This window comes from Homo sapiens, chromosome 2 (genome assembly GCF_000001405.40).
Source record: "Homo sapiens chromosome 2, GRCh38.p14 Primary Assembly".
Classification (NCBI taxonomy): domain Eukaryota; kingdom Metazoa; phylum Chordata; class Mammalia; order Primates; family Hominidae; genus Homo; species Homo sapiens.
The window spans coordinates 180,798,702-180,815,200 of record NC_000002.12 but is presented as its reverse complement, the minus strand read 5'-3'; the positions used below and the strand labels follow the sequence as shown (position 1 = coordinate 180,815,200).

At 34.7% G+C, this 16,499-nt stretch overlaps 1 long non-coding RNA gene across 7 annotated transcripts in view, besides 1 other annotated feature; it reads right to left on the bottom strand.

Annotated features, from left to right (window-relative positions):
• The window catches only part of SCHLAP1 (SWI/SNF complex antagonist associated with prostate cancer 1), a 224,836-nt gene that overhangs the window by 101,739 nt on the left and 106,598 nt on the right, over positions 1–16,499 (bottom strand). The gene's annotated exons all lie outside the window — the stretch shown is intronic.
• Positions 404–1,603: an enhancer, noted in NCBI's record as "BRD4-independent group 4 enhancer chr2:181678325-181679524 (GRCh37/hg19 assembly coordinates)". NCBI's record gives its function as "activates an origin of replication core promoter dependent on BRD2, P300/CBP, MED14 and CDK7 cofactors, and independent of BRD4, by STARR-seq in HCT116 cells {active_cell/tissue: HCT116}" and the evidence as "EXISTENCE:reporter gene assay evidence [ECO:0000049][PMID:35650434]".

Here is a 16,499-nt window from a genome sequence, read left to right as displayed (position 1 = left end):
CAAAATAAAACTACATTCCCTCTGAAAGTTCTATGAAAATACCATTTTTTGCCTCTTCTAGCCTTTGGTGGCTCCATGTGTTCCTTGGTTTGTGGCATCATAACTCCAATTTATGCCTCTGTCTTCATATGGCCTTCTCTGTGTCTTCTACTCTTTTCCTCATGTGTCTCTGGTAAGGTTACTTACTATTGGATTGAGGGCATACCTTAAATCTGGCTGATTTCAACTCGATACTCTCAATTACATCCACAAAGACTATTTTTTTCCAATGAATGTCACATTCACAGATTCTAGGGGTCAGGATGTAGACATATTGTTTTGGAGGCCACCATTCAACCCAATATAGGCCCGAGCATTGCTAAATCCTGAGTATAAAAGAGAGATAAAGTTAGCCCCAACAGATTTTATTTTCATACCTCTATTTCTTAAACGAGAGGCCAAGGATAACTCCTTAATTCTGAATGAATCACCCACCAAAATTTGAGCTGAAAATGTTTAGCTGTAGAAGTGGAAACTTAGAGGTGCAGACTGAATCTCATTTCTTTCCGTTTTTGTTTTGTTTTGTTTTGTTTTGTTTTTTTGAGATGGAACCTTAGCTGTGTCTCCCAGGCTAGAGTGCAGTGATGCAATCTCGGCTCACTGCAACCTCCGCCTCCCAGGTTCAAGTGATTCTCCTACCTCAACCTCCTGAGTAGCTGGGATTACCGGTGCACACCACCATGCCTGGCTAATTTTTGTATTTTTAGTAGAGATGGGGTTCTGTCATGGTGGCAAGGCTGGTCTTGAACTCCTGACCTCAAGTGATCCACCTGCCTTGGCCTCTCAAAGTGCTGGGATTACAGGCGTGAGCCACCACACCGGCCCCTATTTCTTTTTAAAGATAATAAATTCAATACAGGAATACATCAAAGATATTGTGGGTTTGGTTCTAGACTACCACAATAAAGTGAATATCACAATAAGGTAGGTCACATAAATTGTTTGCCTTCCCAGTGCACTCCATTATACTGTAGAGTATTAAGTGTGCAATAACATTATGTCTAAAAAAAGTACATACCTTAATCTTAAAACATCTTATTGCTAAAAAATGCTAACAATCATCTAAGCTTTCAGTGAGTTGTAATCATTTTGCTGGAGAAGGATCTTGCCGAAATGTTGATGGCTGCTGACTGATCAAGGTGGTGGTTGCTGAAGGTTGGGGTGGCTGTGACAGTTTCTTAAATAAGAAATCAATGAAGTTTGCTGCATCAATGGACTCTTCCTTTTATAAAAGATTTATCTGTAGTATACAATGTTGTTTGGTAGCATTTTACCCACAGTAGAACTTTCAGTATTGGAGTCAATCCTCTCAAACCCTGCTGCTACTTTCTCAACTACATTTATGGATTATTTTCAACTTTTCGTTGTCGTTTCAGCAATGTTCAGAGCACCTTCACCAGGAGTAGATTCCATCTCAGGAAACCACTTTGTTTGCTCATCCATAAGAAGCGACTCCTCATTAGTTCAACTCTTATAAAATTGCAGCAATTCACATCTTCAGGTTCCACTTCTAATTCACTTACTATTTCTACCAAATCTGCAGTTCCTTTCTTCACTGAAGTCTTGAACCCCTGAATGTCATCAACTTCTTCCAAACATCTGTTACTATTGATATTTTGACCTCTGCCCATGAATCACAAATATTCTTAATGGCATCCAAAATGGTGAATCCTTTCCAGAAGGTTTTCAATATACTTTGCTCAGATCTGTCAGAACAATCACTATGTACAAGAGCTATGAGAGCTATAGCCTTACAGAATGTACTTCTTAAATAGTAAGACTTAAAAGTCAAAATTACTCCTTGATCCATGAGCTACAGAATGGATGTTGCATTACCAGTCATAAAAACAATGTTAATCTCCTTATACATCTTCATCAGAGTTCTTGTGTGACTAGCTACATTGTCAATGAGCAGTAATATTTTGAAAGGATCTTTTTTTCTGAGCAGTAGATCTCAACAGTGGGTATAAAATATTTAGTAAAGCATGCTGTAAATAGATGTGCTATCATCCAGGCTTTGTTTTCCCATATACAGAGCACAGGCAGAGTAGATTTAGCATAATTCTTTATTATTATTATTATTATTATTTTTGAGATGGAGTCTTGCTCTGTCACCAGGCTGGAGTGCAGTGGAGCAATCTCCGCTCACTGCAACCTCCGCCTCCCAGGTTCAAGCGATTCTCCTGCCTCCGCCTCCTAAGTAAATGGGACTGCAGGTGCACACCACCATGCCCAGGATTTAACATAATTCTTAAGGGCCCTGGGAGGTTTGGAACAGCCAATGAATATTGGCTTCAACTTAAAGTTACCAGTCACATTAGCCTCCAAAAAGAGAGTCAGCCTGTCCTTTGAAGCCAGGCATTAACTTCTCTCTAGCTATGCAAATCTTAGTTGGCATCTTCTTCCAATATAAAACTATTTTGTCTGCATTGAAAATCTGTTGTTTAAGGAACTCAAAAAACTCAACAGTAAAAAAACAAAACAAATAACCCCCTTAAAAATTTGGCAAAGGACATGAATAGATACTTCCCAAAAGAAGACATACAAATGACCAACAGATGTATGAAAACACGCTCAACATCAATAATCACCAGGGAAATGCAAGATCAAAATCACGATCAGATATCACTTTACCTCCATTAGAATGGCTATGGTTAAGAAGACAAATATAAGACAAAATATAACATGCTACTGAGGATGCAGAGAAATGGGAACTCACCAACCCACTGTTGGTGGGAATATAAACTAGTACAGTCACGATGGAAAATAGTGTGGAGATTTCTCAAAAACCAAAAAATAGAACCATCATATGATTCAGCAATCCCACTATTGCGTATTTATCCAAAGGAAAATAAATCAGTATATCACAGGGATACATGCAGTCCCATGTTTATTACAGCACCATCCACAATAGCAAAGATATGGAATCAACTTTAGTGTTAATAAATAAATGAATAAAGAAAATGTGGTATATATACACAATAGAATACTACTCAGCTATAAGAAATGAACAAAATCATGTAATTTGCAGCAACATGGATGGAACTGGAGTTCATCGTGTTAACGGAAATAAGCCAGACACTGAAAGACAAATATTGCCTGTTCTCACTCACATGTGAGAGCTAAAAAAGTTTATCTAATAGAGGTAGACAATAGAATGATGGGTACCAGAGGCTGGGAAGGGTGTGTGTGTGGAAGGAGGCATGAAGAAAGATTGGTCAATGGGTACAAACGTACGGTTAGACAGAATAAATAAGTTCTAATGTTTAATAGTAGAGTAGCGTGATTATAGTTAACAACAATGTATCATACATTTCAAAATGGCTTGTAGACAGGACTTGAAATGTTCCCAACACTTAGAAATGATAAATATTTGAGATGATGGATATTCTAAATACCCTGACTTGATCATTACACATTCTGTTTGTGTAACAAAATATTACATGTGTTCCATAAATATGTACTAATATTATGAAGCAATTTACCTACGGCTATTTACCACATTTTCTTTATCCAGTCCACCACTGGTGAGCATCTAGTTTGATTTCATGTCTTTGCTATTGTGAATAGTACTGCGATGAACATGTGAGTGCATATGTCTTTCTGGCAGAACAATTTGATTTTTTTGGATATATACCCAGTAATGGGATTACTGGGTCAAATGGTAGTTGTATTTTAAGTCCTTTGAAAAATCTCCAAACCGCTTTCACAGTGACTGAACTAATTGTATATAGCTTCTTTTTTTAAAAAAATCTTATGAACCAACCTCTACTAGCTTCAAACTTTTTTCCTGCAGCTTCCTCCCTCTCTCAGCCTTAAAAGAATTAAAGGGAGTTAGGGCCTTGCTCTGGATTAGGGATTGGCTTATGGGCATGTTGTGGCTGGTTAGATCTTCTATCCAGACCACTAAACTTTCTCCCGATCAGCAATATGGCTGTTTCACTTTCTTATCATTCATGTGTTCACTGAAGTAGCACAATTAATTTCCTTCAAGAACTTTTCCTTTGCGTTCACAACTTGGCCAACTATTTGGCACAAGAGGCCTAGCTTTTAGCCTATCTTGGCTTTGACATGCCTTCCTCACTAAGCATGATCATTTCTAGCTTTTGATTTAAAGTGAGAGACATGAGACTCTTCCTTTCTCTTGAACACTTAGAGGCCATTGTGGGGTTATTGACTGGCCTAATTTCAATATTGCTGTGTCTCAAGGAATAGGAGGCCTGAGGAGAGGGAGAGAAATGAAGAAGCGACAGGTTGGAGCAATCAGGACACACACAACGTTATTAATTAAGTTCACCATCTTATATGGGCAAGGTTTGTGGCACCCCAAAACAATTAAAATAGTAACAGCATAAATCACTGATCACATATCACCATAAGTTATAATAATAAAGAAAAAGACTGAAATATTGCTAAGATTAACATACTGTGACACAGACACAGAAAGTGAGCACATGCTGTTGGAAAAACGACACTGATAAACTTACTCAATGCGGGGTTGCCACAAACCTTCTATTTGTAAAAAAAACACACTATCTGCAAAGCATAATAAGGCAAAATACAATAAACTGAAACACAATAAAATGAGATTTGTCTGTATTTCAAACATATTTGGGAGAGAGAGGAATGGTATAATTACTGTCCTCATATTTTTTTAGAGTGTCATGTAGGAAAGGATTAGAGGTATTCTGTGAAGCAGATACAGGGCAGATCCAGAAGTTTCAAGAAGCTAAGGTCCAGATTGAACCTAGTTAAACCCGAACAATTTTAAAAGCAAAGATATTTAGAAATGGAGTGAATTATATTGCAAATTGTGAGTGCTCTGTACAGAAGTTTCCAGCTTTAGGTAGGAGGTTGAGCTAGAATATTTTCAAGTTCCCATTCAACTCTACGTTCTATGATTCTGCAATTTTATTTTATTTATACAAAGATAAAACTACTTATAGATGTTTTTCAAGTCTAGGGGCACCAATTAATATTGTTTTGATTTAAACATATTTATCATAAGATTATTGTAGACATAGCTGAAATCCTTACAGATTGAGCATGCAGAATAAGGCTAAAAATAAGCAGGAGGTGGGCTTCAGAGTGTTGGAGAGGAAAGTACAATAATTTTAGAACTTCGGCTGGCAACGATCACAAGAGGCTACTAATGTTCACAGATCGTTTTATATTTGACTTTAATAACCAGGATCATTTGGTATGGGTTCAGGTAATGAGGTATTTTATTTTTCATGACAAATGCATCCTTAAATCTATTTACTTTCATTTTGTCATGTTATTATAAAAGTATTATTCTATCTCTCCGGAAAACTATTTGATAACACTGAGTAGGCAATCATCAGACTGATGTTGTGTCCCACATAACTTGGAAATTATGCCTTAGGGGATGGGGAAAAGAGCTCAGGAAAAGAGAAAGCATATTATTATAACTAGCAATAGTTTCATGTATTTTTTCCCTGCTTGCCAGTACTTTTTACAGATGAGGTCTTAAAACTGGATGACAGTCAAATAATTTGGAATAATAAATAATGCCAGGTGAAGATCAGGTCCAATTTCTTTTAAAAAATGTTGAATTCAACAATTCAAATAACCAAAATATGTTAAACTTGGAGACTGATCAGAATTGCTGGCTAAGGCAGATACTTTGAAGTAACTGATGAAGTTCCCTATAACCAGAACTTTTTGGCATGGCTTAGAAAGATAGTATAACATAAACTCTAAAATGATTTTCTTCACTGGGGCATCTTGACAAGCAATTAGGAAGAATCAAGGTCTAACAATTGTGAAAAATGTTGCAGTTTTTAAAGGACTACAGTCCCCTGAATGTGAATTTCTTACTTAGGTAATAATAATTACTCTCATTTATTGGGTGATAAACAATATGTCAGGCGTTATTTCAAATGCTTTGTTTATGGTGTTTTATTTAATCTTCATCTCAACCTATGAGGGGATTATTTTCCCATTTACCAGATGAGAAAACTGAGGGTCTCGGCTAAGATTTTCAAACTTAGGTGTCTGGAGCAGCGTCATAGAGCTGTTGGTGGAAAAGAAAAAAAAGAAGTTTGAAAGTTACTTCTATGGGTTGATTTCCTTTACAATGAATTCCAATGGACTTCAGCTGTACTTGATTTTTGTTTTTTTTTAGGTATTATAAGGCAAATTTGACTGGTATGTGATATGTCATAGTGTATATGCTCCATACTTTTAGTCTTTTTCATGTTTCTATACTTTTTTGTCTATGAGTCAGATATTTATTTCAATGACAAATATTTTCTCTAAAATAAGATATACTCAAATAATTCTTTCCAAAGATATCACTATCATGCTAACAGAATATCTGATTCATTTATTGTTTCTTTCAAATTTTATCCAGCAGTTTAGTATCATGTTGTCATTTATAAGATATGTGTAAATATATTATGTTTAAGATTTTATAGAAATTCTAGTTGACTGAAATGTTTTGAAAATCGCCTTTTATCTAAGAAATTCAAATGCATCACAGTCATTCACATTAGGGCTCTGGAAGATAATAAAGCGGGCCTAAAATAGAAGGCTTTTATGTATTTTGCTCTTGTCTTTATATTTTATATCTCATAGAGGACAAGAGGGAACAACAAAGCCATAGAATTTTTTTAAACTTTTGTTTTTTTTCTTTTCGTTTTGGTTCAACATTTCTTATCTGCTTTCTGTCATAGGAAGAACACATTGAGTGTAGTATTGGTAGGATCCTTCAGCACCCTGCTTCTGTTATGGAAGCTCAATGGGAAAATTCCTCTCTCCCCAGCCCTTGGCAGACAGAGCTCATGATGGTAGAGTTTTGAATGAAGATGTGGTATGCTCTGGTAATGAGCATCCAACTGTTGTGTGGAATGTTAGTGTCTTGGCGAGAATGTTCATAATACCTAACTTCCAGAATCCCTTTGGGCCTCACACATTTTCCAGAACTACCTCCCACCAATGTGCAGACTTTTTATTCTACCGGTAATTTCCTTTCTTGCTTGTGACAGCCAGTTGTTTCTGCCGCTTGCCCCAAGGGCCCTATGATCATCAACCTGCACCTGTGAGAAGCCTGCTAATGCAGCATTTTGGAAATTTGAATGACTTGCTTTGGGTAGGTCATATATCTAGCTCATTCTTGATGGAATGAAGAATAAAATCCTTCCTCATCCTTTACTAAGCCTTAAGCCCCATGATTGAACAAAATAAATATATAAATATCTATGACAAATATATTTTAAAAATATCAAAACATTGAGACAGTTTTGAAATCACCGAGGAAATAAACCTCTATTACTAAAGTTGAGAAGGAAACGTGATCCTTGTCACCAAACATGTATATTTTTATGCTATGCTTTTGTCTTCTAAAGGAGTTATTTTATGCGAGGATGAGGATACAGACCTTCTGACAGGCAACTTTCAGTCCTCAGTGTCCTCCTTGTAAGAGTTACTTGTGTTAGCTTTCATGGAGCTTTCTGTTTTAAACAACAGCAAAACAAATCTATTCAAACTGTTGCAATTTCTGAAAAATTGTTTTTCTCCCCCTCCTTTTTACGATGTCTTCTGGGAAACTGAAATGCAATTTGGAAACAAATGACAGCTCAGGACTCACTCTTCCAGCTCTAAAAGGAATTCTGAGCACAAATTTTAAAGTTCAGGTTCAAGCATTTAGGTTTTAATTCAAAGGGAGTTGTACATTTGCCATAACGTCCTTTTTTTCTTTTATGAAAACAGACATTCAGTTATACAAAGGGAGATGCTAACATCTTACACCACCCGCACGTATTAGAATTTCTGTTCTGTGTCAGCTTTGTGTTCACAAGAACTCCTGCATGTTTTTCCCCCAGTCATGGAGAAAATATAGCATATTACCTACTGCTGTTATTTACATATAACTTGGCTGATGAAAATTTAATAGTTTTTAAACCAGTAAAATACAGATGAGGACTAGAGAACCAATGACTGCTGCTATTCAGAAAGGGGTTGAACTTTCCTCCTTCTGCACTAATGTCTATCCAAATACAACTCCATTAATGCTAATTATTGTCAGTGATTATTTTCTATGTGGACATTTATTTATTTATTTTCTTTAATGATAAAAACTAAATCTTTGTATACATGGAAAATTATTTTGACTACAGGATCTGATAGATATTTGAGTTACTCAGACAAATGATCATTTCAGTAAGTAGTTTATTTCTTTCTCTTGCCTGATTGTCCTGACCAGAACTTCCAATACTATGTTGAATAGGAGTGGTGAGAGAGGGCATCCTTGTTCTGTGCCAATTTTGAAAGGCAATGCCTCCAGCTTTTGCCCATTCAGTATGATATTGGCTATGGGTTTGTCACAAATAGCTCTTATTATTTTGAGATATGTTCCATCAATACCTAGTTTATTGAGAGTTTTAACATGAAGGGATGTTGAATTTTATTGAAGGACTTTTCTGCATCTATTGAGAGAAGAATTGGATAAATTCCTGGACACATATACCCTCCCAAGACTAAACCAGGAAGAAGTCGAATCCCTGAATAGACCAATAACAAGCTCTGAAATTGAGGCAGCAATTAATAGCCTACCAACCCAAAATAGCCCAAGACCAGAGAGATTCACAGCTGAATTCTACAAAGAGGAGCTGGTACCATTCCTTCTGAACCTACTGCAAACAATTGAAAAGGAAGGACTCCCCCTTAACTCATTTTATGAAGCCAGCATCATCCTGATACCAAAACCTGGAAGAGGCACACCAAAAAAAACAGAACTTTAGATCGATATTTCTGATGAACATCAATGCAAAAATCCTCAGTAAAATACTGGCACACTGAATCCAGCAGCACATCAAAAAGCTTATCCACCATGATGAAGTTAGCTTCATCCCTGGGATGCAAGGTTGGTTTAACATATGAAAATCAATAAATGTAACCCATTACATAAACATAATCTAATTCTTAAAAGAAGTAATTTTTAGGCCAATTTAGGGGAAACGTTTGGTCAAACATCTTAGAATATACTGAAAAAGTCATCTTTCTGAATTATATTTTCATCAAAAGAATGAGAGAAAATGAAGTTATCCCATAATAATTTTTAAAAATTATTTTATTATCTGTATTAGCTAAAGGTCATTCTAAAATGAGCAGTCTTTAGTAACTGTAAAATAGTAATAAATTATAAGAATATATTATTTACTCAATGATTATCCTAAAATAATCTTTGCTCTTCATTTTTGGAATGAAGGTCAAATGCTACTCTCTGAATCCTTTCATAATCCCTGTGGTGAGAATTATTCCCTCCATTGTCTTTCAACAGCATTTTTATACCGTTATTACCACATTTAACACCTTGAATCTTCATTATTTTTTATCCTGTCTTCCACACAGGACTGTTGAGAGGTAATGTTTTATTCACAGCTGTGTTCCCATAGAGCCAGTCACAGATAAGGCAATCAATAAATGTTGTTGGATGAAATGAATACATTTACTTGAGCAAATATTTTATTAATTTCCCATTTCCCCATTCTACTTTTTTTTGTTGTTGTTATTTCTTAAAGCTTATCTTTCCCTATCTTCTCATGGCCTTTCCCACCTTTGTAAATGTTTACCTTACTGCCTTTGCTTGCTTATTGTCACCTTAAGAAATTTCCACCCCTTTCTGCAGCTCCTCCGTCTCTATTCCTTGTTTTTAAATGCCCCACACCAGCCCTTGTCTGAGACTGGAAATCCCTTCGTGAGGACATCCCTCATTTTCTGGAATCTAAAATCTTCATTGTCAAAGCATAACCTTGCAATAATGATTACTGACTGCAATTTATTATATTAAGAGTGTTGGCAACATTCTAACTAATCCAAAATGAAGGAATTAAGAATCAAGGTTTTAAATAAAAGCATGTTTTAGAAAACTACTGTCTTACTTAGTAATAAGATGAGGCCATGGTAATACACCCAAAGAGATTCTACCATTTAACATAGAGATTTAGGAGATTCTACCACTTAAATGAGTCCAGGGGCAAATTGTTTTGGGCCCTGCTCATACACTTGCTTCAAAGTCCCAGACTTCTTAAACGTAGCAACTGAATCCTAGGGCCTGTGTGGGGAATGCCCTCAGTCTATTGTTAGGTCCTCAGTCCCCCTCTTGGATCAACAGTGTGGCAGAAATTTGGCTGTTCTGGGAACCCCATAGTTTTAGGAGAGTAAGAAAATTAATTCATGCACAAATTATATCATAACTTAAAAATAACCAGGCTAACTTAACTAGAAAATGGTAGGTATTTACGGGTCTGTATTTTTAAGTTTGTACTTTATCTTCCTCCCTGTTTTCTTTCTCCATCCTTTCCTCCCACCCCACTTTGTTCTTTCTTCACCTTTCTTCCTCCTTAGCCAGAGTGTGGAGTTCTCTTGGCTTGTGGTGCAGCATCACTATTAGTCCCCTCAAGACCCCTCTCTCGTTATGTTAGCATATTCCTTTTTATACTATTGCCCTTCAATTGATCTCCCATATATGGACAATGTCATAAAAGTTATTTCACCATAAATCCCATTGTGTTTTTTACCCTTTCCATATTATGGTTTTAAGAATTACTTCGAATGATGAATAATATTCTGTAGTACGTATCCTCCACCTGTTCACATTATTCTGTTCAGTCCCTCCACTGAGGGACATCTAGGTGGTTCCAACTCCCCTGCAATATGCATATTCTTGCATGTCGCTAATTGATCATTTATTTAGTGAGGGAATACCAGTAGAGGGGTTCTTGGACACAGAGTATACTTTTCCCTAATATCACTAAGAACTGCCATATTGTTCTTAGCTACACCATTCTACAAAACATTAGCTGAACCATGGTGGTTTCTGCTTCCCAAATCCTCACCAACACTCCAAGTTTTTCCAACACATATTTTTTAGGGTTTAAAATGGGATTTCTTTGTTTTGATTTACTTTATTCTCATTATGAATGGTATTGAGTATTTCTTCATATAATTATTTAACATTTGGGCTTCCCCTTTTCTCAAATGTCTGTTTTTAAACTTTGAGTTTCTTCTCCTTTTCTTATTTTCTTGAAGTAGTTCCTCCTACCCCCAACCATGTATCATTATCTTGTCAAGTTTTAGATATTGCAAATATTTTCTATATTGTCATCATTTGATTACTTTGTCTAGGATCTTCTTTTTTCAACAAATGAATACATTTTGATGTATTTAAATCTCTCTCTCTCTCTCTCACTATATATATATATATATATATATACACACACACACACACACTTTTATTTAAAGATTATAATCTTGTCTCATTTAAGAATTTTAATGTGTCTGAATGCTGGTAGGCTTGGTGCTAACCTCCCTTGACAATTTTGCTCAGTTTTTAAAAAGTCAGCATAACTATTCATGGATCTGTGATTAGTGATTTTGGCTTTATAATAAGAAGTTGTATCCTTTTAAAAAAATCTGGCCAGATTTTAATTGTGATTGCATTGCTTTTATACATGATTTTTGGAGAACAGAACTCAATAATATTAAGTCGTTCTTTATATATGTACAGAATATCTTTTCATATATTCAGATTATTTATGTCTATCAACAGTTTTGCAATATTTTGCAATTTTTTCAAGAGGTTCTGTAAATTCTTTGTTAATTCATACATATTAAACAGTGTTTGCTATTATTGAAAAATGCTATATTTTCTATCTGCTGCTTAGAAAAATGTGTTATAGAATTGTAGGTTTGTTTTGCATTGCTCTGACAATGTATTGCTGGATACTGCATTTTGAATAGAACCTGATCGTCTTTTTTATTGAAAATTTGAATTTATTTAAAATTATATTTATTGATATATTAGGACTTAAAAATTCAACCTTACTTAAAATTTTCTCCGTAAAAATTTTTGTTTTCTGTTTTTTTCTGCTTTGTATTAGATAAATCAAGTTTTCTTTTGCTGATTAAGGTGTGATAAATATTTTTTCTCTTTTTTATATTATTGTCACTAGCATTTTAATGCACACGTAAAGTTAATTTTTTCTTGACAATTTTATGAACTTACCAATATCTATATATATACTGAAATGAGACAAATATTTTCTACCTTTTCACCTCTCTACCTTTGGTTCTGTTACTATGTTGGAAGAATTTAAGTTCTAAAATTCAGTTTTGTGTTGAAATGGATTTCCATTTTTTATCACTCGCTCTTCAGCTTTTCTTCAATTTCTTACCTTTTTCACTTGCTTTTATTTTATTTTACTTTTTCATTTTTATTTTTTGAGATGGAGTTTCACTCTTGTCACCCAGGCTGGAGTGCAATGGTACAATCTTGGCTCACTGCAACCTTGGCTAACTGCAACCTCTGCCTCCCGGGTTCAAGCGATTCTCCTGCCTCAACCTCCTGAGTAGCTGGGATTACAGGCACACGCCACCATGCCCAGCTAATTTTTTTATTTTTAGTAGAGACAGGGTTTCTCCATGTTGGTCAGGCTGGTCTCGAACTGCTGACCTCAGGTGATCTGCCCACCTCGGCCTCCCAAAGTGCTGGGATTACAGGCATAAGTTACCGTGCCTGGCCTTTGCTTGCTTTTAAAAAAAATTTAATTGTGGTTCTTGCTCTTCTGTACAACTATAAGTTACCTTCTAACCCATTTTTTAAATGTTTCTAATAGTACTCTACTTTTTATTGTAATATTTCCTTAAATAATATTTTCAGAGGATCTTTATTACACAGAACCTCTCAGGCTTTGAATGCATAAGAATGTCTTAATTTCATTCTTACATTTAAATGACAGTCTGAGAAGATATAATATTCTAAAATCAGAGTTCTCTTTCTTCCATATTTTGAAAATATTTCTCCATTGTCTTTTATTTCTAGAGTTTTTGTTGAGGAGTCAGATGTCAACCTAATTATCATTTCTTTTTTGGGTAGTCTGTTCTTTCTCTTCAGAAGCTTTTAGAAATTTTCCTTTGTCTTTGATAACTTTAAATTTCACTATAATAAGCCAGGGTATAAGATACTTAACTATCATTTTTTTGTCATGCTAAGAATCCATTCAATCTTTTTTATCTCTTTTTTTTCTTTCTTTTGAAACTCTTGTCTTCTGGATATTAGGACTTTCTGTCTCTGGTGGAATTTTTCAACTCTTTCTTTCATGAGCTCACTATTTCAATGCTTGCTAATACAAACGCTGCTATTTATGACTTTCATTTTGTTTTCACCTACAAGTTTTCATATCATGCAGCTTTCAAATAAAAATTATGTGTGCACATAGTTAAGTAGAGTTCAATAGTACCACAAATTGTGTTATGAAAAACAGTAGTCCCTGATCCTTCCTTTTTTCTTATTGGAAACCAGCACTCCCTATTTTTCACTGATAATTTGATATTTATTTCTGTATCTCTAAATAAAATGTGGCAGTTCTTATGTTTATTACTTTTAGTCATTTTCTATTGGTTTGATATTGTGGAGGATAAAAATTTAGCTCTCTTTACCCTTGCTCCCAATATTACTCCCCACTCAATTTTCTATTCGCATCACATCAATGTGGGTAAATAATAATTTTGATTATAAAAATGTGTTTACATTATTATGTCTGTAAAAACTGGGCCAAATAATACACTACAATTACCTTTGCTGCATGACAATTCTACTTAGTACTAGATTAATAATAGTATTTCTTTTATTTGCTTAATTTTCTATATGCTGTCATTAATTTAGTTCTAAGCTCTTGCTAGGCATGTAGGTATCACTCAGTATATTCTCATATTAGGTAATTTATTAATATTATCATCTTAAGTCTTTCCTGGACAGCCCATTCTTTAGACTTGCTGCATTCCTCTCTTCAATTTGTGAGGAATTTGGGTAGACATTTCCCCTAGAGTTTTAGCTTATAACTGGGTAGGTAAGACAGGGTCTCCTGTGTAGACAGCTATTTCCTTTGACAGATTGTATGTTTTAGGTGTACAGAGTGAGTAATAGAGCCCATTTGACTTTAGGTCTTAGCTAAGTTCCAATGACTATATTTTGTGTGTATTCTCTATTCACTGTAATTACATAAGGGGAAAAGAGAATTTAGGCACTAAACTCCTCAACAATCCTTATTGATCTGCTTTGCAAAGAGTTGTTATAAACTTCAATATGGATCCGAAATGGCCTGTGGATTAGTGTTTGGGAACCACTAAGTGAGCTCACCTACTTGTTCGACCTTCCCTAATCCCATAGATTGGCAACTCCTAAATCTGTATCTTTAACCCAGCCATCTTTCTTAAACTTAAGACTCACATCCAGCAAGCTACCTACCAAGAGGATGTTCTCTAAGTATCTCAAGACTGACATCATCCCTACAACAGGTATCCATTTTTAAATATATTTTCTATAGCAATAGGCCCTCCTAGTTGCATGTGAGAGGCAGCTTAGATTAGTGTTTAGAAAAACAATTTTTGAGCAAGATTATCTGGGTTAGAGTTCCAGTGCTACCACTTAATAGCTCTGTAACCTTGAAAAATTGACTTGGCCTCTCATTGGCAAGATAGGTATAAATAAAAGTAGGGCTGTTACATGGGATTAGGTGGATTAAAAAGTGCTTAGAACAGAGCCTGACATATAGTAAATTTTGTACGTCTCTTTAATGCAAATACACGAATAATCAAATAAACAAACTTATGCTAGAACCTCAAAAGCAATTGCTGTGTATTCTTCAATCCCCACCCATCCATTTTATTACCAAGCTATTGATAACTACTAATGACTACCAAGTTTGTCCTCTAGTTATTTCTTAAATAAGTCACTGGACCATAAACTCTGTAAATGTCTGTTGGCTTACAATCTTATTTCTAGTTTGTACCACAATACCACACTCACCTAGTGGATGTTCAATATATTTTTTGTTGAATGGTTTAATGAATTACACATACTACATTGTATTATAATTTTCTATAAATATATCCCCCCACCAGATTTAATTTTTTGACTAGGAAGACTTTCTACTCTTTTTAGCACAGTGCTTAGAAAACAGTAGGCACAAATAAGTATCCAATATATGGATGAATGAGTGAATGAATGAAAGCATTTGGATAAAAGAAGAATTCAAACCTAGTAAGTTAGATTCCTTAGAGGCAGTATTGCTCTGACTGAGAAACACACTGCTGAAGTTAATAAAGCAGAACAGCTTAATGTTATGTTGACTTTACTTGGCATCAGTTTTTTAAAAATTACCAGCAGTTAACACAGATAGACTATTGAAAGCAACTAAGATATCTAAGATATACTGAAGTAAAGCCAATTATCCTGGCAACTAAAGGTAAGTTGTGTTTGCTAAGCATTTAACTTCTGGATATGAGGATGCATTTTTAGTAACAAATCAAATAGCGGCACTTCTGGACCCTTTCATATTGTCTGAAGTACTCTACTCCAGAAATGGAATATTATAATATTCTTGACCAAGGGTATCCACACTATTATAATATTTATGCCAAATATCTACACTATTAAAATATTTATGCCAAATATCTACACTATTATATTTATGCCAAGTTACATTAACTTATAAAACAAAAGTAATAATAAAAAAAATTCTAAGCTTTCTAGGTGATGGAAATATTTTATTACTGAAAGTACTAGATAACCATTATACTATCAATAACATATATGCTTAAAATATATCCAAATATTTTTATAACATGAGTGACTGGTAATTGAGTTATGTATAAAATGAAAAGTAAATATTTTAATTTTAAATCTGAATTAACCCCATGCTATATATTGAGCAAAACAACAACAGCAGAACACATTGTTCCAATAAAATGACAAAGAATTGGCTGATCTACTTTACAGAGAACAGCAAAATAAACAGAGCAAAGAAACACGCATGATGGCAGTCATACAGAGACAGTGCAGATACCATCTATGCTGATTTGGCTCCATTTTACACAATGCACAAAGTCATTCTTTGTTAATAATCACAGCAAACTATTTTATTTGTATTTTCCTTTATCCTACACAAGAAAAATTATACTTAACATGGCCTAGGGTAAGTATTCCAAAAAAGGATTCCTTAATTTTTAAAAGATTTTATGAAAATATATCAGATGACAAACGAAATGTTAAATATGTGCAACAACCTTTTGCTCTGTTTATTCAATGGCTACTATATTTTCACTGCAGATTTCTATGCTATTTGCCATAACAAATAACAAGCCCATGAAATTATTACTCCTGTGTAGGAAATCATGATCCAGAAAAACAGTCATGTGTTAAACAATGTTTAAAAATTGCTATTTAACTTAATAAATATTTATTAAACACTCGCTGTGCTGAAAAATCTGATAGAAAAGAATAGGCGAAATTCAGCTACACATCTACCCATACTCATGCCCACACAAACACATACACACATAGTGAGTGTCTTATTTCTTGGTGCCATTTTAGAGGTTCGGCATCAGTGGAAGGGTGTTCCAAGAAAGAGAGGACAACTTCTGGTTTATAAGAA